The 23,578-nt window shown below is 39.1% G+C and overlaps 1 protein-coding gene and 1 non-coding gene across 12 annotated transcripts in view, besides 1 other annotated feature; both read left to right on the top strand.

Moving 5' to 3' along the window:
* Positions 1-23,578, top strand: part of TMEM245 (transmembrane protein 245) — a 104,813-nt gene that overhangs the window by 71,300 nt on the left and 9,935 nt on the right. For all 11 annotated transcript variants that reach the window (NM_001438169.1, NM_001438166.1, NM_001438172.1 and 8 more), the window contains 3 exons: positions 10,531-10,631; positions 12,268-12,442; positions 15,147-15,341. In NM_001438169.1, the coding sequence (NP_001425098.1) occupies positions 10,531-10,631; positions 12,268-12,442; positions 15,147-15,341 (471 nt within the window). The remainder of the gene's footprint in view (positions 1-10,530; positions 10,632-12,267; positions 12,443-15,146; positions 15,342-23,578) is intronic.
* Positions 2,350-2,419, top strand: MIR32 (microRNA 32). The gene has a single exon (NR_029506.1). It is a non-coding gene; the product is annotated as a microRNA 32 (primary transcript).
* Positions 11,651-12,850: an enhancer, noted in NCBI's record as "P300/CBP strongly-dependent group 1 enhancer chr9:111798078-111799277 (GRCh37/hg19 assembly coordinates)". NCBI's record gives its function as "activates an origin of replication core promoter dependent on BRD2, BRD4, P300/CBP, MED14 and CDK7 cofactors, with strong dependence on P300/CBP, by STARR-seq in HCT116 cells {active_cell/tissue: HCT116}" and the evidence as "EXISTENCE:reporter gene assay evidence [ECO:0000049][PMID:35650434]".

Here is a 23,578-nt window from a genome sequence, read left to right as displayed (position 1 = left end):
CAAGACTCAACTACATTTTTACTTCTTATGAATACGTCTCAAATTAAACCCTCCTATTGTCCATTAGAGCTCCTTTTTCTAATACGTTGTTAACCAGGTGGTCTTAAGCATCTCTTGAATAGCAAATCTTTGGCTGGCATTTCTGTCTCCACATACTTTTAATAAATATTGTCTGGAACTAGTCTTCCACAGAAATCTTGATTTTTTTTTTTTTCTCTGATAATTGCACCTGATTGATCTTGGTATATTTTTTCACTGTGTTCATGTAATAGCTAGGGAGAATCCCATTTGATTGTTAGAAAACCTTCAGTTACATTCAAACAGGATGCATGCTCCTAAAATACAATGTCTGTAGAACTTTTGCTAAGTTCTCTCCCCTTTTCCTACTAGCAAGGCCTGGGTAAGATCTTCACCAATACCTTGTTTCCGCGATTGGCTGTCAAGTGGGATTAAAAAAAATGCTCTTAACACCTGTATAGTGTCCTCAGGTATCCACACAGGGGCCATCTATAAAGATTCCAGATTTGGGAGTATATTATCCAGTGTAACAGCAATTGGGGTGAAGCTGTTTCGAAGGAAGTACCAGCTATAGCTTCCCTCCTAAGTCCTATATGACCATTGACTATCATCTTTGCTGAATAAATGAAATGATGAAAATTCTAGCAATAGATAATCTTTTGTTTATCTAGGTGATATCTTTCTGACTCAGAAAAGCTTTTGCAAATGCTCTACCAAAAAGGAAGGCTAATCTTTTATCTTCCCAGTGGGGTAAAGCTATTTATTGTAGCAGCCATATCAAAGGCTGGTAGGAATTCTCCAGTCAGTGTGGCTTAAGCCAAGCTTTGCAGAAAAATATCTACCTTGTTCATAAAGAACTTCAAGAAAGATGATGCTTCCATTTTCCTCAAGTAATCTTCATTGTTACTGACTCTTATTCTTAGAAAAATGTTTCTATTTTCACATCACAGCTTTTGAATTTTCTCTTGTTCTGCTTTCTTACAGCAGACCATCCTCTAAATGTCTGTCACCTTTTTTCATACCAAATATGCCACCTTTTTTGTTTTAAACTTAATTCCTAGCTGTTGTGTTTGCCAGTCAGTGGTAAGTAAAGCTGTTAGTCACACCTAGGTTCAGCTGATTGAAAGCACATACTCTGTTACACCATGATGCCTTCTTTCAAGAGGAGCTGGTTAGGGAAGATCATGACTTATATTTGTGGACATAAGAGGGTGGCATTTAGAAATTCAGGTCTTTGGCTCAGGAGAGAATTTGAGATTACAAAGAGTGCTGTCATCTACAGCGATATGAGGAAATCAGTCTTTTACAAATTAGATTCGACTTCCCTTCTTGGGAGTGCATACACTAATTATGTATTATAACAGTAGCTTATGTCTTGGTTCCATAGTATACTGGCATTTAAAAACCATTTGTTTTATTATCACCTTATTTTAAATACAGAAAAAATTTTAACAACCTTTGGTACCAGAACTATAATCTAATGGTTCTCAGAATTGATAGATTTTTATGAGTCTGATAAATATGGTACAGACTAAAGAATGGGTTATGGCCTGAGACATTTTTCTAACCAAAGCTATATCAAGTTATGTAATTTTAAGGCTATAATTCAAGGTGTTTTTTTTGCAGTTTAAGTTCCTAGGGCTGTTTCTTTACTGGCTCAAATTCAAGACTTAAAATGTACAGATTTTACAGAGATTCCTCTGAAGAGCTTTCTCCTGTGGAGAAGATGGTAGTGAGTTCTCTTTCTAAGAGCTCCTGTTGGATTTTTCATCCTGAAGGTTTGTGTTGAAGAGGCAATATGTTTCTTCATGGAAAAAGATTTTGAGGGAAAAATAAGTGGTTATTTATAATTTATGAATGACTATGAAAATATTGTAATGTCCTCAAAGTGCAGTTTAGCCTACAAATATCAGTGATACCAACTTTTATAAGCATCAGTCATTAATCATCATCTATGTTGCAGCTAAGTGGAAATCATTACATTCATTTATATGATCTGTGAATAAGTCAAAAATGGAATTGAAATTGGGGGTTAATTGCATGACCAGACAGTGATAGTGTCTGTTCGTGAAGCTTTGCCTTCTGAAGTATGTGGTTTCTTTATGATCACTATCTCATTGAAGTTTTGAACCTTACTCATTATTTTGATTCTGAATAAGTATTCTTCTCAGTTGAATACATTTGCAATTGGGTTTTCATTTCATGAAGTTTTGAGTCAGTGGCATGCATCCTTTATCCCCAGACCATTTTCCTCTCTTCAGCAGCATGTTGTCTCCTGAATGTATACATCACACCCTTCTTCCCTGATGCTCCCATTCTGCTTGCTCTGGTGGAGATATTGCACATTACTAAGTTGCATGTTGTCACGGCCTCAATGCAATTTAGTGTGTGTGATATTTTCACATGAGTGCATGCACACGGGTATGGCTCTTGCTTGCTGGGATTACAGCTTTTCAGTGCCAGTGGGTGGGTGTCCTGATGAATTAGATAAGACAGTGTGTATGCCATGCGATTCTCATTTGGAAAGTGAACATGCTTCCCATCGGTACCTTCCAATTTTGGAGAATTAAAAGTATTTGGATTAAAAAAAGTCAGCAATGATCATTTAGTAAATCAGTGTTTCCATTTTTTACTTTGAGCAAATGAAATATTTATTACAAATTCTCATTGATTTAAGAGTATAAACAATATTTAAATGTATAAGGAAGAATGTAAAGCTGTAAGAAAATGTATTTTCATTTATTTGAAGAAATCTCTCCCAACACTGGAATAGAGAAGCAGAAATCTCTTATGCATATTTGGGGAAATTAAATTAACTGGAGTTCTTAAATAATAATCAAGACAGTAAAGGTATGCTTAACCTACCTGATGAAAGATTCATCTCATAAACTTAAGTTTCCAAGGTAAATTACCTTAAAAATGTGTCTTTTACTTTCTCATTGTGATGCTTCGAAAACTGCTAAATTCATTTTAGTGGGCTAATAATGGAACTAGTTTTGAAATACACGTTTACTATTTGCCTATGTAATTGAAACAACCCCTTGTTATTTTTTTAGTTAGCATTAGAGTAAGCATCCACAATCACTAGGCATTGTCAAGGACACAAAACCATGTATTACTGTATGAAAATATTGAATTAATATTTACTACTACCATAGCCTCCAGATGATCTATTGTGATGCTGTCATTGTATGTTTCTGTGTTTCACCACTGTTTTGGAGGGTGAGAATGGAAGAATTCCACGTAAGCAGCTCATCCCCTGTGCCCTTCAGCAGCTCGGCCGTTCCCCTCATGCTGGAAATCTAATGTCAGCCAGGTTGCTATATGACACCCTGTGGAGCTGGGTTTCCAGGGCAGATTAATCAAGAAAGGGAAGATGTGACCTCTCAAGGGAGGTTGGGGCTGGGAAGGGGTGGGTAGAGAGAGATTTGTTAAAGGATACAAAAATTACTTAGAAGGCATAAGTTCTAATGTTCTACAGCACTGTAGAATGACTGTAGTTCAACAATAAATTATATCATTTCAAGTAGCTAGAAGGAAGATACAGAATGCTCCCAACAAAAGAAATGAGGCCAGGTACGGTGGCTCACGCCTCAAATCCCAGCACTTTGGGAGGCCAAGGCGGGCAGATCACCTGAGGTCAGGAGTTCAAGACCAGCCTGGCCAACATGGAGAAACCCCATCTCCACTAAAAATACAAAAATTAGCTGGGCTTGGTGGCATGCACCTGTAGTCCTAGCTACTCGGGAGGCTCAGGTGGGAGAATCTCTTGAACCCAGGTGGTGGAGGTTGCAGTGAGCTGTGGTCATGCCACTGTACTGCAGCCTGGGCGACAGTGAGACTCTATCTCAAAAAAAAAAAAAAAAACCAAAATGATAAATGATCAAGATGATGGATATGCCAATTACCCCTATCTGATTACTATACATTATATGTATTGAAACATTATTATGTACCCCATAAATATGTAGAGAGCAGTCAAGGGAGCTGGCGAGTACTTTTCCCACTGGTTATTGTATATACTGTGTCTCTAAAAGCTGACTGGTCTCTCCCACCAGCTCACTTTCTACTTGAGACATACCATATTGCAGTGAGGCTAGAATACTGGGAAGGGGAATGACAGTCCTTTAGAAAAGAGGGTGGAACCAGTGTAAGGAAATGTGGAGGAGGCAGAATTTCACTTTGGACTCTTCACTCCTCCTTTTCTTCATTATTTATCTTCTTCCTTAGACAGGTAATTCTTACTCAGCTGTGGTCTAAGGCCCTGTGTACACTGAGTTTATAGAGCTTCTGGACTGGTTTGTTATTCTCCCCATCCCACTCCTTGCTTCAAATATCATTCCATTAAAAGCAGGTCATCTGATTAAATCCTGAATTGTCTTGTTATTTTTTTCTTACTCAGTTTAGAAAAGTAGCAAGCACAATCTGGTTTGTCAGAAAAGAGAGGGTTGAGAGCTAAAGTTAAGTATCAGGAAACGTGTGAAAAAGTAAGTTTCATCCTAGGATTTATAAAGGATGAAGATCAAGAGCTGGTTAGGAAGAGTTAACATTGTAAACAATCATTTGAAGTCAATTCAAGCTTCTGGTGCAGAGGAGTTATTATTAAATATAGTTGTGTAAAGGAGGCATGGATATTCACACCTTTAGTGCCATACGGTATAAATATACAGTAGGCTTTATTAGGGGAAAATCCTAGCTGAGAAAAAGCTGATCCTAACTAACTCTTGGAACTTTTATTCCACAGAGAGGTATGCTTAGGTGGGGCATAGCTGGATTGGATGCACGATGGCCTACCTTCCAATGGACAGGAATCCTGCTCTATAATAGTCTATATATAGTATGGGACAGGAGAACATCTCTAAGACTGTGTAGTAATGGGAGGTCTATGAATAGGGAATAGGCCTTGTTAGAAAACCGTGCCTCTAGCTCAGTGGCTGGTGTGTCAGTCTCTTCTTCCATTGAGCTAAATCACGTCCATCTGAGCTACCAAAAGGAGGGAGGAAAAGAACCTCCAGAGTTTGATTCTCATCAACTATTGAGTGCTAGGAGAGCTTGGACTAAAATTAAAGAACAACTGTCAATAATCTTTGAAGAATCACTGAAGAAAAAGGTCCCAGAAAACCAAGAAAAGGCAGATATTTTTTGAGACATAAAGGTGGAGGAAGCGTATATAGTCCATAAATATTAGACTGGTAAACTTGATGTAAGTGTTCTGTCAATTTCTGCAGTAGGTGCTTGACCACATGGTTGTGAGCAGTTACAAAGGGAAGGGTAATGACCATTGGCACCATGGATCACACAGCACAAGTCATACATGGTCACCTTTAGGGAATGCCAGAAGTCCACGTCTATCGTGATGTTTGCAAGAGATTTGATGAACTGTATCATAATGTCTTTCATAGATAGTAAGACAGGGAAGTGTTTACTGAAATTGACTATCCAAAAAATGTTGACTAACTGGTTTTATTTGACTTTGGGAGTAAATTATTCCTAGCAATCTCTGAATTTTAGGTTCCAAAGAACCCTAGAGACGAGTGATAATTATATGCTCAGTATTATAGGTTATTTAAAGTAACCGAACCAAAACTTGCATATGCACAGCACATAACAGTGGTTGGCACGTAGTGGGTTGTGTGTGCGTCTGTAGTCCCAGCTACTTGGGAGGCTGAGGCGGGAGGATCACTTGAGCCTGGGAGGTGGAGGTTGCAATGAGCCAGGATTGCACCACTGCACTCTAGCCTGGGCGACAGATTGACACCCAGTCTCAAAAAAAAAAAAAAAAAAAAAAAATTGTCAGCTATACCTTTATTTATTTTTAATGAAAGAAGAAAAGTTAAAAAAAAAGTTCTTATAAGAGGGAGGAAGTTCTGGAATTAATGATGATAGTTGCACAAATTGTGCGCATACTAAAAACCACTGAATTGTATACATTAAAATGATGGAATTTATGTTATATGAGCTTCATCTCAATAAAAAAATTTTATTAGAAAACAAAGGCAGGAGAGTCAGAATGAAGGAGACATGTGGACAGAAGCAGAGCTCAGAGATGGAGAGAGATTGGAGGATGCCACACTACTAGTCTGAAAGATGGAAGATGGGGCCATGAGCCAAGGAATGAAGGCAGCCTTTAAAAACTGGAAAAGGCTAGTCCAAGTGTGGTCGTATTTACAACTAAATGATCACAACCAGTTACAGATTGCTCTGTTCCCTCTCTGCTCTCACTGCTTTACTTGGCTAGCCTAAAAAAAAAACTACTAAAAAAGAAGAGAAAACAGATTCTCCTTTAAATCCTCCAAAAAGAATGTGGCATCCAGGTTTTAGGACTTCTGAATTATAAGATAAAAAGTATGTTTTAAGCCAATTGAGTTTAGGGTAATTTATTACAGCTGCAACAGGAAACTAACACAACCCACTACATGCCAAGTACAGTTATATGCTGTGCACATGCAGGTAGCATACCGGAAAGTTTTGGTTTGGTTATTTTAAATTGTAAGGTTAAATAACCTATAATACTGGGCATATAATTACCATTTATCTCCAGGGTTCTTTGGAACCTAAAATTCAGAGATTGCTAGGAATAATTTACTCCCAAAGTCAAATAAAACTTTATCTGGCATATAACTAATGGCACGCACTATGCCTGGCTAATTTTTTGTGGTTATAGTAGAGACGGGGTTTTCCCTGTTGCCCAGGTTGGTCTTGAACTCCTGGGCTGTAGCGATCCACCTGCTTCGGCCTCTGACAGCGTTAGGATTACAGGTGTGAACTACCGCAACCAGCCAGACAACAAATAAAAATGAATGCTATATATTTATAGTTTGTAATAAAATGTTACATTGTGAAATGGTTAAATCAAGCTAATTAATATATTCATTACTTCACGTACCATTTTTGTTGTGAGAACATTTAAGAGGTACTCTTAGCAGTTTTCAAGTATACAATGCATTATTATTAACTGTAGTCACCATGCTGTACAATAGATCTACTGAACTTATGCATCCTAACTGAAACTTTGTACCCTTTGACCATCTCTCAGCCCCTGGGAGGCTGAGGTGGGAGGATCACTTGAGCCCAGGAGGTGGAGGTTGCAATGAGCCAAGATTGCACCATTGCACTCCAGCCTGGGTGACAGATTGACACCCAGTCTCAAAAAAAAAAAAAAAAAAAAAAAAAAAATTTGTAGGATGGCAACCACATCCTACTCTCTACTTCTATGAGTTCAACTCTTACATTCCACATGCAGTATTTGTCTATCTGTGCTGTGCCTGGCTTATTTAACTTACCATAATGTCCTCCAGGATCATCTACGTTGTCGCAAATGACAGGATTTCCTTCTTTTGGGGGGGCTGAATAGTATTTCCTTGTGCACACACCACATTTTCTACTAATAGCCACTGCTTATTGAGCATCTACTGTGCACTAGGTCAGTTACTAGGTGCTTCAGATGCATTGTCATTTAGCTTTTCATGGGTTGAATTGTTCTTCCTGCCAGCATCCACTCACATGAAACTGTGAGGTTTAACCTCATACCTTGAGGAGATATGTGGTGAGGTAGGAGGCAGTGGCTTCTGGGTTGGTGTCCGTGGACTATTAGTTTTTTCGGAATTGAGAGATTAAAGCTAATATTAGTTATAAAGTTAAATAGATACCGTATGACCCAGTATCTCCACTCCTAGGTATTTACAGACGAGAAATGAAAGCATATGTCCACAAAGACTTGTACACAAATGTTCATAGCAGCATTATTCATAATACCCCCAAACTGGAAACACCTCAAATGCCCATCAGCTGGTGAATGGATAAGCAAGTTGTAGTAGATCTACATAATGGAATACTACTCAGTAGTAAAAAAGGAACCAACTACTGATATACTCAACAATGTTGGTGAAGCTCAAAAGCATTATGCTAGGTGAAAGAAACACCAAAAGCTACACGACAACGTGAATGTACTTAGCACTATTGAACTGCACACTCAAAATGATTCAGATGCTAAATATTGTGCCATGGATATTTTGCCACAATTTAATACAAAGCTATATAATGTATGGTTGTGTTTACGTGAAATTCTAGAAAAGGCAGAATTATAGTGACAGCATATCTAGTGGCCATCAGAGGCCAGAGTTTAGGGAGGGTTTGACAATAGAAGGGCATGAGGGAACTTTTTGGGGTGATGGAAATATTCTACATCTTGATTGTAATGATGGTTATAGAATGTATATATTTGTGCACATTACTGAATTGAATGCTTCAAATTGGTGAGTTTTATTATTTGTAAATCATAGTTTAATAAAGCTGATATAAAAAAGAAGAAAAAGTTGCTAGGAATTTGAGGGAGTTAAATTCTGTTTTCTGGTAAATTGTAAGAGGATTTTTCTCTGCTGTTTTATTTATAAAACTTGTGTGCCAGATCACAAGTAATGAGGTAGAGGGGAATATATTGTCTTTTCATCCCTCACTAGGTTACATGAATATGTTTAGTAACTGCAAACAATATACAGTGCATTTAAAAGTTGCCTTGAGAACATTACCAGCAACCAATATTCTCAGCAGTGAAAGAAAGAAGACTGCTGTCTTCTCCACGTGGTCCTTACTGGATTGAGCCTTGGTTACTTGCCACCCAGAGGGGTGATTGAGTTGCAGTATTCTGTTGCACCTTTGATGTCAACTTATTTTTGGCTTAAATTTTTTAAATAACATAAGGTTAAAGAAAGGATCACATCTCTATCTTTTCCTCATTGACCTCCCTAGTTCTAGACAAATTCTATACTTTTTTCCTTTCTTTTTCTCTGTGGTCGATTATGTCATTATTCCCTCCCCCTCAAAACCTACCTTCTCCCTTGGTCTCCGGGAATACTGCACTCTAGTGATTTTCCTCCTACTACGGAAATGATTTCATTACCTCTCTGGCTGGTATTTCTTTGTCTTTAGGTCCTTTATGAAAACACAACCTGTTGCCCTATTTTCTCTCCACTTGCCCTTTTAAGATGTCCTGTACTCTTTTATAATTATTCTGGTGCGTCTCAGATGTCTTGTTCTGAATTTTCTATTAAGCCTTGTCTCTTATTTCAGCTACCTCTAGGGTATTTTCATCATCCTTTTTGAGTTCCTGTTGCCCATACTAAACAAACTGCCCTTTTCTTGCATGCCTCTTCCATTCTGGCCTTCTCCATGACTTTGAGACACTGCTATTCTTTCCCCTTCAGGTTTAAAACCTGAAGCTCTGTTGTTTTCTTTTTGCTCTGTCCTCTCTGTTTAGTTGTTGAGCAGATCCTTGGTATTTTCTTTGGGGTCTTTCGCTTCCTTTTGGTATTTTTGATACCACTTTATTCTGGGTTCTTGTTGCAGAGTCATATGGCTCCTTTAAGACGTTCTCTAGTGAAAGCCATTGGTCCGGATGACAAAGCAGGTTTTACAATTGGGGAGCCACTCTGCCCCTGGATCCATGTCCCAGAACACTACTAAATGACTAAATCACTAGATTACAGGGCTTCACTTTGCTCCTAACAGTATACCTCTTGGGATGCTTTAGAAAAGCTTGGTGTTTCTTTTTGCATGTACAAGGTCACGTTTGCCGCTAACGTCTTCTTTTTCAACTACAGCTTTTCTTCTGTAGTGACCATATGAAGGTGCTTTCCCTGCACCCCTCTGCACCACCCCATAGAGTCCAGGTTTTTATGATTTTGTGCTGCCTTGAGATTACTTACGGGTTGCCACCTTTGTGCTCTCTGAACAGTTCCTTATTTCCCCTCCTTATAGTGCTGCACTGCCTTACTAATCTTCCAACTGAAAAACACAGAGCACCTGACATTGCAGATTTTCATGTATTGAATTCCTATATTAGTCACCAAATATATGTGTCTGTTTTTATCTCTCTTGTATTTTCCTCTCTGATTTTACTTTGGAGTTAGGAATATTTTTTTTCCCACAAATTCTCTCCCAATGACCTACTTTCTTTGATAGCATTTGTAAGAGATGTTACTTTGTAGGCTTAGTTACATAGTTTAAGAAACATAGGAAGATTTTGTTAAGGCAAAGAAAGATGGTGAAATACAAGTTACACTATCCCTTATTGGCTCTTTCCAAAAGGGGAGGACTGGCCACAGCCTGGGTTTCTTAGAGTTTAAACTGTATTCTTGGAAACATGTTATTCACGCTTAATTTTCTTTCCATTTGTTTTGGTGGTGAAATATCTGCTTCAGAGTGAAAAGTTGATGAATTATTTCAGAGAATAGGGTATTTTAAGGTGTTTCAGTTATTTTTTCATCAGAAATTTAAGGAATAGTAAACATATTTCCAAATAAAACATATTTCATATTACATAAAGAATAACTTAGTAAATGTATTTAAAGTAAGGTGTTTATGTTTCTTTGAAATAAAATGAAAATAGCATTCTCAGGCCAGCAGAAAAACTGAAGCTATTACATGATTTGGAATCAAGTGGTCACGTGATTTTTCTGAATCACGATATGACACTGTTTATTTACTCTTTCTTTTTATCTTTGGGCATTCCAGAGGGGTGTTTGATGCTTCCCTCAAAATGGCTGGCTTCTATGGATTGTATACCTGGCTGACTCATACTATGTTTGGCATCAATATTGTCTTCATACCATCAGGTAACAACCATATTGTACCTTCCACTATTCGCTATTTAAGGAAAGTTAAGCCATTTTACATACATCTAGGAAATGTCTACTTCCTCAAGTTTAAAAAACTAAATTTTTTGGCTTGAGATCGAATCTAGTCCACATTAGGAACAGAAATATGATTTGTAATGTGTTTGTTTATTGCTGTATCCCCAGCAGCTGGAACCATACCCAGCACATAGAAAAAATTGCTGTATTAGTCTGTTCTCTCACTGCTATAAAGAAATACCTGAGATTAGGTAATTTATAAAGAAGAGGTTTAATTGGCTCACGGTTCTGCAGGCTGTACAAGAAGCATAGTGGCTCCTGCTTTGGGGGAGGCCTCAGGAAACTTATAATAGTGGTGGAAAGTAAGGGGGAAGCAGGCATGTCTTACATGGCTGGAGCAGGAGGAAGAGAGGGGAGAGGTGCTACCACAGTTTTAAACAACCAGATCTCACGATAACTCATTCATTCACTATCATGAGAACAGCACCTAGGGGTGAAATCCACCCGCCATGATCCAGTCACCTCTCACCAGGTTTTACCTCCAACATTGGGGATTACAATTTGACATGGGATTTTGGTGGGGACACAGATCCAAACCCGTATCAGTTGCCCTACATGTTTGTTCAATGAATGAATGTTCTAGCACTTAGCATAACACCTAGGACATAATTGGCTCTCAGTAACGTTTGAATTGAACTGATTGGCAGGGAGCAACTTGTTGTCAAAATAGCTTTGTCCATGAGGGATTACATCCCAGGGCAAGATGAATGCTTCTGAGGGCACATAAGCTGCCTCCATACCTCTTAAGATCTGTTGTGGTGCTTCTTCTACTTTTCCTTCCTTTATTTCTATGGCTGCTTGTTTTCCTAAATATCTCTGCCTTCCACATTTGCCTCTACCACATCCCCCCCTTTCCCTATTTGTCTGTGCTTCCTTCTACATTGTCAAGTTCATTCACGTTCTTCTCTACTGTGATGTCCACAAACCTACCCTCTGACCTGCAAGCACCCTGTGAGGCGGGATGGTAGACTTGTCATATAGATGAGAGACCAGTTTTCCAAGGTCATGTACCTGGCTTCTGGTAGGACCAGAACTAGAAACTACATTTGCTTTACTCTTAACTTGGAGAGAAGCCAGATGGAGGAAGAGTGCTTGAACATACTGCTCTGGAAGGGAATGACCTTGAAGCAGGGTCCTTCAACTCAGGATTTTTTCTGTTTATTTTTATTATGCTGAGGTTTAGAAACTAATTTCTGATTGGGCTTTGGACTCAGTACAAGTTTTGACACATGTTCTGTAGGTGTATTTATAGGACCGTATATTAACTATTGATTGATAGTAGCAACTACAGAACCCTTGAATTTTATTGCTTAAGAAGAGATCCATAAATAAGACACACACTTAGAAAGATTTTTAGTATCACATTTTAAGATATTGAGCCTTTACTTAGCTAGAAAATTCAGTTAGATAGGGCATATCATTTCCCTAATATTTGAGTTTGTGAGTATTTAACTTGTTTTGTTGGAAGTTGTTGAGGAGGAGCTACTGCTTAGATTCTTTTGCTTTGTTAGTGTTTTGCTGATGATGTTAAGTTGTTTTTCTTTTACTCTTTTTTCAGCATTAGCAGCAATCCTTGGAGCAGTGCCATTCCTGGGGACATACTGGGCAGCAGTACCTGCAGTTCTTGACCTGTGGCTGACACAAGGGTTAGGATGCAAGGCCATTTTACTGTTGATTTTTCATCTCTTGCCAACATACTTTGTAGATACTGCAATCTACTCTGACATATCAGGGTAAGTAAGCCACAGAATTTCTTATTAGTGAATCATCCAGGCATTTCCGTTTTTTTTTTTTTAAAGGAGGATTTTTTTCTCCTGGGGGTATACAAAAGAACTGGTAGTAGGAATTTTCAGTGAAATAGCCTTTTGTGTTCCCACAAATGAAATTTTCATTGAAAATAGTATTGTTTACAAGGCATGATATTTTGGGGTTTTTTTTTTTTTTTTTGGTTGTTGTTGCCCCAGAGTTCCAGAGCAACTTTTTTTTTTTTTTTTTTTTGAGACAATATCTCTTTCACTCAGACTGCTAGAGTGCAGGGTGCAGTCATGGCTCATGGCAGCCTTGAACCTTGAACTCCTAGGCTCAAGCAGTCCTCCTGCCTTGAACTTCCCAAGGCACTAGGATTACGGGAATGAACCACCATGCCCAGCCAATATTTTCTTATTACATATGTAATATTTATAATATATATGATGTCCTGGGTTAAAACCAAATTGTGAATAATTTTCTCTTGATTTAGTGACATTTAACCTAGAAAAGAATTATGACCAGATGTACATCAAATATTTTAAGTACAGTGAACAGTTAATGATTATTTTTATCTCTTCTTTGGTTTTGGAGAAAATGTTGTTAGATTGTATGTCTGAGGATATCCATGTGAAACCAAATCTCAGCAAGTTAATTTCTGGCAAGCAGAGCTCTCTAAAGATATAATTGGAATGGTTCTATGATAAATACAGGTTAAATCTAAGTCAGAATCAACACTTTAGCCATATAATACAATAAATAAATGTCTGTTTTTATAGGTTTTGACATCTCTTTTAGAAATTGCATTAAGTATATCAAGCCAGTTCTCAGTCACATTAAAACTTGAGAGAGAAAATTAAAAAGCTGAACATCATAGTGTGGTTAACTAGTGTGTCACAGTTGACATTTGAGCAGGAATAAGTATGATTAATACTTAAGTGCTTTTATTTCTTTAAACTTTGCTGTAAATTTTATATTAAGGTTTACAGCTGGAATTAAAGAAACACTGTCTTTTTTTTTTTTTTTTTTTTTTTTTGAGACAGAGTCTCCCTCTATCACCCAGGCTGGAGTGCAGTGGTGCAATCTCGCCTCACTGCAACCTTCGCCTCCCAGGTTCAAGCCATTCTCCTGCCTCAGCCTCCTGAGTAGCTGGGATTACAGGCGTGCACCACCACACCCGGCTAATTTTTGTATTTTTACTAGAGATGGGATTTCACCATGTTGATCAGGCTGATCTTGAACTCCTGACCTCAAGTGATCCGCCTGCCTTGGCCTCCCAAACTGCTGGGATTACAGGCATGAGCCACGATGCCCGGCCTAAAATACTGTCTTTAAACGTTGTTATTGGGAAATGAAAGGTTTGGCATAAATTGTTTTATTTTTTAATAGGTTAAGCTTTTATTCATAAACTCCCACACGTTTTTATTTTTTTTAAAAAAAGCTTTAAGGCTGAGCATAGTGGCTCAAGCCTGTAATCCTACCACTTTGAGAGGCCGAGGTGGGTGGATCACTTGAGCCCAGGAGCTCAAGACCAGCCGGGGAAACATGGTGAAACCCGTTCTCCACAAAAATATAAAGATTAGTTTGGTGTGGTGGCACATGCCTGTAGTCCCAGCTACTCAGGAGGCTGAGGTAGGAAGATCACTTGAGTCTGGGAGGTCAAGACTGCAGTAAGCTGTGATTGCGGCACTGCATTCCAGCCTGGGTGATGGAGCGGAATAAAAAGCTTTAAGCATTTTTGATAGTTTTCCTTGAATGTGTTGTTTAGGGAAGAAGTTTACTTAGCAAACATGGAATACTGCCCTAAATCATTTTTTTGGAATGAGAAAGACAAACACATTATGAATATAATTTATTGGTTTCCTGAAGACTGGTTCTCCACAAGTCTTACTTTGATTTAGCTGTAATATAGAACATCCTTCCAGGATATTTAGTTATTTGCCCCTCACTGAATTGTTCTTCTCATCTATGTTTAAAACTAGAAACAAACAGAATGTGACTTATTTCCCAGTCCTTCTGATGTCAGTGGTCCTTTCTTGTCATTATCAATGTGCTATGCTACTGTGTTCTGTTTTATTTCATTCCGCTTACATAAGTGATACTGTAATAAGCTGGAGGGCATTTGTGATTCTCCTGTGAAATAGAAATCTTGGGCTTTGTGACAGATATTTTCCTCAGGAGGCCTTTTATCATCACCTATGTTAAAAACTATATTTTAGGAGGTTGCCAAAAGTCTGACCTATGAGTAACAGGGATGCTCTCATTGTTGCTGTCGTCATATAAAAGCATAATTAACTGAATTACATGCTAAATTGTGCTCACTTAATTATCCTTGATGGAGGTTAACTTAACAGGTGACTCCTAACCAGTCCCAAGCCAACATTAACCCATCATAGGCAGGCACCTGTAATGGGTATAAAATATCTGTTAACATTGCTGGCTTTATTCTTTCATTCCTGGAGCTATAAAAAGAGGCAGATGTCATCCATAGGAAAAACAATTGTTGCATCTCAATATTGTTGCATCTCAATATTATTGCAGTCAGTGTTCAGTTGTATGCATCGAGGTGATCTAAAGAAAGCTGATAATATGCTAAAAAGCATAGTGTATTAAAGAATGCACATTGTATTAGAAATGTATTTCAGATTTTTTCCAGTTTTTGTGTGTTAAAGGTCGTGCTCTTTATTCCAGAGGTGGCCATCCTTACCTGACAGGCTTGGCAGTGGCCGGTGGAGCATACTACCTAGGCCTGGAAGGAGCAATCATCGGTCCTATTCTTCTCTGCATACTTGTGGTTGCTTCCAATATCTATAGTGCCATGCTAGTGAGTCCCACGAATTCAGTTCCCACGCCAAACCAGACCCCATGGCCTGCTCAGCCTCAGCGGTGAGTTAAAGCAGAATAATCATAAGCTGTATTTATACATTGAACTGTCCTGTCTCTGTATTTGATAAGTAGCTTCATCCAGACTTGTCAGGATAAAGGTATTTGAGTACCAATGCTGTGATAAAGGTTGCAGAAGACACTAAGTAAATACAAATCGTTGGCAGAGTTTTGGGTTTCATATACCAAGAAAATTTAAAACCTATATTGGGGCCGGGAGCAGTGGCTCACGCCTATAATCCCAGCACTTTGGGAGAACAAGGCAGGTGGATCACCTGAGGTCAGGAGTTCGAGCCCAGCCTGGCCAACATGGCGAAACCCCATCTCTACTAAAAATACAAAAATCAGCCAGGTGTGGTGGCACCCGCCTGTGAACCCAGCTGTTTGGGAGGCTGAGGCAGAAGAATTGCTTGAACCCAGGAGGCGGAGGCTGCAGTGAGCCCAGATTGTGCCACTGGACTCTAGCCTGGGCAACAGCATATAAAAAAAAAAAAAAAAAAAAGACCTATATTGGGTGAGAATTGTTAATGTCTTGAAAAGCCAAAAATAAATTTAAAAAATCTAATTCTATGCGGGACATGGTATACCAGATTGAAAGAGACTCAAGAAATGGACAACCAGGCCAGATGTGGTGTGGCTCATGCCTGTAATCCCAGCAGTTTGGGAGGCTGAGGTGGGCAAATCACCTGAAGTCAGGAGTTTGAGACCAGCCTGGCCAACATGGTAAAACCCCATCTCTACTAAAAATACCCCAAAAATTAGCCAGATGTGGTGGCAGGTGCCTGTAATCCCAGCTACTCGGGAGGCTGAGGCAGGAGAATTGCTTGAACCTGGGAGGTGGAGGTTGCAGTGATCCGAGATCATGCCATTGGATTCCAGCCTGGGTGACAGAGCGAGACTCTTGTCTCAAAAAAAAAAAAAAAAAAAAAAAAAAAAAAAAAAAAGGAAAAGAAATAGGACAACCAAATGCATTGCATGAGTCTGGGATAGATTTCTGGATTGGGGATGGGAGGAATATTTCTGAAACAATTGGGGAAATTTGAACATGGACCATATGTTAAATAATATATCAATGTTAAATTTGGTTTAACCAATTTAACAATGATACTTCGATAACCAATGATACAATGATAACCAGTCATAACCAATGATATTTTGGTTCTGTAGAAGAATGTCCTTTAAAGATGACGTGTCATGATGTCTGCCACTTATTTGCAAGCAGTTCCGCCAGAACTGGGAGAGGGAGAGAGGAAGTGACTGTAGCAAAATGTTAACAATTGTTGAATCTAGATGAAAGACATATGGTTGTTAATTGTACCGGCATTTCAATTTTGTGTAGGTTTATACATTTTTAAAATACAAAGTTGGGAAAAAATTATTTGGGACACCAATATAGAGTTGCAACATGTTATTTTGTAAGTACAGATATTAAAATAAAAAGTACTGTTATCTGCTGTCACCAGCATTTCATAAAATAAATTATAATGTTTGAAAATTTTTCTCAATTGTCTTATAATTTTCTTAAATTTCTTTAGGTATAATTTATATATGGTGAAATGTACATCTAAATAGCCAAATGTACCTCTAAATAGACAGGTTGATTTTTTCATGTACTCACACCCATGTAACCACTACTCATATCAAGGTATAGAATATTTTTGTTGTTCTGGAAGGCTTCTCCCTGCCTCCTCTCAGTCAGACCCCACTGCCTGCTGATACTCTAACCATAGTCACTTTTCATTAGTTTTGCCTGTTTTTGAACTTCATATAAAAGAAATCATATAGTAGGTAGGTACTCTTGAGTCAGTCCTCATTGCTCAACAGTGTATCTGTGTGATTCATTCATATTGTTGGATGTTTTTCTCTGTTCATGGTTCATTCTTGCATTGTTGTCTAATCTTCCATTACATGAATATATTACAATCTCATTTAATCATTGTAGGACTAATAGATATTTGGGTAGTTTGCAGTTTATGTCTGTTTTAATTCAAGATGCTATGAACTTTTTAAAAAAAATTTCTTATTTTGCCACGAACGTTTTTGTACATGTCTTTTGGTGGACATGCGCACAGTACTTACTGTAGTTGGACATATACCTAAAAGAGGAATGTCTGGTTATACATCTGGTTTTAAGTTTAGGTGGATACTTAAAAACAGTTTTCTATGTTATGTGCCAGAAATTACATTTTAACAACAAAAAAGAAGGACAGTCTCAGAATAAAAAGTAAAATGTTTTGAACTTTCCGGAAACTATATGGCATTCTCCTTGTTATCTGCAATTGGAAAACACTAGTTTTCCTGCCACTGGATATTCTCGTGTAATCAAGGAGTCACTGACAAGTTGGTTCTGACAATGCATTTAATGAAAATATTTTATACTTTTATGTAAAATTCTTTAACAACATGATTCTGCTTAATTTTGTTTTTAGTGTTATATTTTGTGAAGAGAGACATTGTCCTTTAACTCAGAACAAATGCAGTAAAGTCTCTGAGTTAGAGCTGGTTAGGGGGCCATTTTAGCCAATGCGTGATCCTTAGTTGATGGCAGGGGAAAATCAGTTTTTCCAAAAGAATAAAAGGAGAGGTGCTTCGGTGATTTTGACAAGGGCCTTCCCAATTTGGTGGTGGTGACACTATGATATCCTTTTCTGCCTTTGCCTCTTAAAGACAAGTGCTCAGATACCTGAGAAGCCAGCGGTGCTCGAAATCAACAGAATGCACTTGCTAACTTGAGGCTCTGTTCCATGGGCTCACCAAACACAAAGAAAAAAGATAATTGATCAATATTTTGCTGTTATTTTGAGAAAAACTTAATGATTTCAAGTTACTAAAGCAAGAGTTAGTATTTAAGGTGAAATGAAAGCAACTTAAATGAATTCTTTTAGAGGTAATAAACCTTTTTAACTCTTTGTCCTTCTAAAAGTACAAAATGCTTATGTGGCGTGGCAGAGTAGAAAAAGATAACGTGAGGACCCATATAGCCTTTGTCTTTCAAAGTTACTCATGCATGAGTTTAAAGAGTCAAATTTCTACAAAACTCAGTGAAAAATAAGGACAATAAGGACTTTGCCTTCTCCCTCTTCTTCCTTTTTCTAAGAGGAACCACTTTTTGACCCTGTATTATTTTGATATTTACCTCCATATCTTGAAGTGACGTATTTATTTCTGATTTGGTCATATATAGGCATCATCTAATAACTTCCGACTTGGAAGGTTAGAAGTTAGCTTTCACTACCCATTCCCCCAAAACAAACGGTGATACTGGTTAGATCAGTATTCAGGTTTTACATTATTATGACTTTAAATTATATTCATATTTGAGCCTTGTCATATATTCTAATATTTCTTTACCCATACGACTTTTGCTTTCTCTTGAATTAATAAAGATACTGGTTTTTATTTGCTTTGCTTTCCATGTACTTATAACTAATCCCATCTCAAGCTCTGCACCAGGCACTCACCTCTCCACTTGGTATGTTCAGTCGCACCAGGCATAGTTGGTCTTCTAAAGAAGACTGTCCTAAGTGCCCTGGTCTGCCCCAGTGGAGTGCTGTCCTTTTGGCTTGCTGTTCAGCGGTCACCTTGGGTATTCCCTCAACTCTCCCTTGCATTGGAATCCTTATTTCTTATACCCTATATAATTTTCTTTCTTGATTTCTTCCTTTTTGGTGGAGCACATCCTCTTATAGATTTTCGGGAAAATATGCATAGGAGGTAAATTTTGAGGGATGATGCATGTCTGAAAAAGCTTTTCCTAATGTCAAACTTAATCCGATAGCTTTCCTATGTAGAGAATTCTATGCTTGAAATTTTTTCTTTAACATTTATTTCTTCATTGTTTTCTGGCTTCTAGGATTGTTGTTAAAAGTCTGAAGCAATTTTTATTATTTATTCTTGTTAATTTGACTGTTTGAAGACATATAAGATCTTTTTGTTTATCTACGGTTTCTGTCCTGATGGGCACTTGCTAAGACCTTTAAAAGTGAAAACTTGTGTTCTGGTGTTCTGACATTTTTCTTGAGTTGTTTCATGATTTCCTTTTCTTCTTTCAGAAATTTATTTTATTTTGACTTTGACCCTCATGGACTGGGCATTTCACATTTTACATCCTTTCTCTCTTTTTTCACTTGTGTCTTTTTGGCTCCATTTTCTGGGTGATTTCTTCAACTTTATCTTGTAGCTTTACTATAGAGGTTTCCATTTCTACTTGCACATTTTTTTCAGTTTCCTTTATTGAGGTATTATTTCCTTAGAGTAAAATGTACCTTTTTAGCGTACAGGTTTATATTTTGTATGACATGTAACAGATTACACATTTAGCAGCTTAACGTACATTTACGATACAGCTTCTGTGGGTCGGGAGTTCAGGCAAAACTTGGTTGGGTCCTCTGCTTAGGACCTGAAAATCTGCAGTCAGAGTTGGGGTTTCATCTGTGGATTGGGGTTCTCTTTCAAGCAGTCCTGTTGTTGGCATAATTCATTTCCTTGTAGTTGTATAACTGAGGCTCATGGCTCCTAGAGGCTGCCTCTCTTCATAGGCAGCTGATAATTTGGGTTTTTGCTTCTTTAAGGCCAGCGGGAGAGTATTTTTCTAACTTTGGTCTCTGACCCCTAGACTTTTTAAAAGAAGAGCTCGCCTGATTAGACCCAGCCCACCCAGCATAATCTCTTTTTTTTTTAAGTCAGCTAATGAGGGACATTCATTATATCTGTAAAATCCATCCACCTTTGCCATACATGTTGAGCATCCCAAATCCCAAATCGGAAACTCTCCAGAATCAGAAATTTTTTGAATGGGAACATGATGCTCAAAGAAAGTGTTCGTTGGAGCATTTTGGATTTTTTTTTTTTTTTTGAGATGGAGTGTCACTCTTGTCACCCAGGCTGGAGTGCAGTGGCATGATCTTGGCTCACTGCAACCTCTGCCACCCGGATTCAAATGATTCTCCCGCCACAGCTTCCCGAGTAGCGGGGATTACAGGTAGGTTCATGCCACTACGCCCGGCTAATTTTTGTATTTTTAGTAGAGATGGGATTTCACCATGTTGGCCAGGCTGGTCTCGAACTCCTGACCTCAGGTGATCTGCCCTCCTCAGCCTCCCAAAGTGCTGGGATTACAGGCATGAGCCACTGTGCCCGGCCAGCATTTTGGATTTTAGATTCTTGGATTTGGGGTTAGTATAATGTAAATATTCCAAAGTGCAAAAAAGATGTGAGTCACTTCTGGTCCCAAGCATTTCAGATAAGGGACACTAACCTGTATTAACAGAACCACAATATCAGGTATTGAAGGTGTTTGGCTGTTGGCTCATGTTAAGAATGAGACATGGCCGGGTGCGGTGGGTCACGCCTGTAATCCCAGCACTTTGGGAGGTCGAGGTGGGTAGATCACCTGAGGTCAGGAGTTCAAGACCAGCCTGGCCAACATGGTAAAACACTGTCTCTACTAAGAATACAAAAATTAGGCATGGTGGCATGAGCCTGTAATCCCAGCTACTCGGGAGACTGAGGCAGGAGAATCACTTGAACCCAGGAGGTGGACGTTGCAGTGAGCAGAGATTGCACCATTGCACATTGCACCACTGCACTGCAGCCTGGGCAACAGAGCGAGACTCTGTCTCAAAAAAAAAAGAGTGAGACACTCAGAAGCTGTGGTGGATTGTGATATGTGTTACCATAATATGATGTGGCAGGGCCACTGCTTTGTCCAGCCCTTAATGTCAGTGATTTTGGTCCCCTTTTTGGGCTTGTATATTCCTCAAAGAAAGAGCTTCTAATCTCCTGGCTAGAGACTAAAAGCCTGGCTGCCAGCCTCCTGGGAGCCAGGAGGAGGAAAAGGTCTGGACAGCCTTCAAGATGTAAACATCCACTTAATCTCCCAGTGTTGGGATGGATGCCCACCCTCATTTCTGCCTGTTGTGCACTAGTTCAGACGCTTTTTGTTTTACCTTCTCCAGAGGGGAAAAAAACCTCTAGTTTTCTGCCAAGGAGGGGAGAGGGTGGAGTCAGCTGCTTGGCTGGGGTGGGAGGTGGGGTGAGGATATCAGAGGGTGTTGTCTTACTGCTCTTTAAGGAAACTGTAAAGCAGTCCTGTGTTTACCCCCATCTCCCACCCTACTTCCGGAGTTACTTGATGTCACCAGTTCCTAAACCTTATGGGGGATTTCGCTGAATAAATCAGAATGTTTCCTGGCCTTTCTCACTACTGGTTTAAGATCCAGCTTTTTAGGGTCTTGTGTTAGTCTGTTTTTCATTGCTATAAAGGAATTCCTGAGGCTAGATAATTTATATAAAGAAAAGAGGTTTATTTTGGCTCATGGCTCTTCAGACTCTACAAGAAGTATACTGCCAGCACCTGCTTCTGGTGAGGCCCCAGGAAACTTCCAATCATGGTGGAAGGCAAAGGGGGAGCAGGTGTGTCACATGGAGAGAGAGAGAGGAAGCAAGAGATGACAGGCTCTTCTAAACAAACTGCTCTCACCTGAAGGAATAGAGCAAAAACTCATTTATCATTGTTGGGGAGGGCACCAAACCATTCATGAGGGATCTGCTCCTGTGGCCCAAACACCTCCCACTAGGCCTCACCTTCAACATTAGGGATCACATTTTAACATAAGATTTGCAGGGGACAGACAGCCAAACTCTATCACGTATGCCAGGTCATAGCAGTCCCACCCGCTTTCCACCTTCTTAGAATTTGTTGCTTTTGCCTCTTAGTTCTTTTTTTTTTCTTTCATGGCCTTTGCTGTCCGAGGTGCAGCCGCACTGGCTTTCCATCAGGCCTCAGATACACCAGGTGCCATTGAAACTCTGGGCCTTTGTGCACGCTGCTTTCTCTATCTGGATAATCCTCCATCTGGATAATCCCCCATTTTTCCTTCTTAACGAACTCCTAACTATTCAGATCTCAGTTCAAATGTCAGTTCATCAGAGAAGCGTTTCCTACCCCCAAGATTAGGTTATGGCCTCCTTGCCAGTTTAATGTGTTTATAGTTTGCACCTTGTACTTTTTTTTTTGTAGTGCAGTTTTCATTTATACACTTGATTATTTTTCTCTCTCCCCCATCCCAACTTGACTATAGTTGCTGTTACTGCCAGGACCAAGTCTATTTTAATTACTGATGTCAACCTCTGTCAACAGTATTTTGTACTCAGAATGCTCAATTCCTAGTGGAAGGAATGAATGGGCTGTGAGGGAATAGTATCTACAGAAGCATGAGCTCTGAAAGGGCTTGGCTTTTTCTAGGAATTTGTATATTGTTACAGTGTGACAGTAGAGAATAGATGGTTGCATTTTATTAAGCAGACATACCTCTTAATTCCACACTGCAAAAAAACTTGTTAGACTACTATCTTCACACAGATGAATGCCCATTCTCCCTAAGGAAAGATTGTAGGAAGGAAGACCTTCTCTGCTGCTCACTGTTGATAGTGAGAATGTAGTGGATACAGCACAGCTTTGGGCTCCCAACTATTTTGGCCTCTGCTGAATAATCAGAACCTTTCACTTCCTCTGTTCTCTATTAATAGTGGGCTTGTTTAGGGAGATGGGATGTGTAGGGAAAGGCAAAAACACCCCTGTAGTCATGCATACTTTCTGGATTTTTGGACAGGATAATCAGACTTGCTTTGATAGACTTCTTTCACTTCTACTAAAAATTGAGCAGCAGTCTCTGAATATTAAAGCCCAGAAAATCCTGTAAGGCATATGTCCCAGGAACTCTTTCAGGGATGCTATTCTCCATATTGTAGTTTTCCTTTGCCCTCTGTTACACCTTGAGAGGAAGGTGACAACTGGAATGTGGTCCTTTAGGAACTCAGCTTTATCTTTCTCTAGGGAAGATTGAGTAACTTGTGGCTGTTTTTGTACACGCTTTCTTAACCTGAGGTTTATATCTTTCATAATTAAATACCGAAAGTACAATCAAAAATGAGTATCCGCTGGGCACAGTGGCTCATGCCTGTAATCCCAGCACTTTGGTAGGCCAAGGCAGGCGATCGTTTGAGTCCAGGAATTCGAGGCCAGCCTGAGCAACATGGTGAAACCCCATCTCTGGGTCTCTGCAAAATGAAGTATAAAGATACTCCCCATAAACCATCCCCGCTTCTGCAGATCTTTACACTAACCCTAAGAATTTCACTTGGGGTGCACTTGCTGTCATTCCACTTTAGAAGATTGAGAAAAGAGAGTAAACTGGGGCTGGGAAGGGAGTACATTTGATTTACTTTCTGTTACTTGA

Source organism: Homo sapiens, chromosome 9 (assembly GCF_000001405.40).
Source record: "Homo sapiens chromosome 9, GRCh38.p14 Primary Assembly".
Classification (NCBI taxonomy): Eukaryota; Metazoa; Chordata; class Mammalia; order Primates; family Hominidae; genus Homo; species Homo sapiens.
Note: the sequence above shows the minus strand (reverse complement) of the source record. Positions and strands in the feature narration are given on the sequence as shown.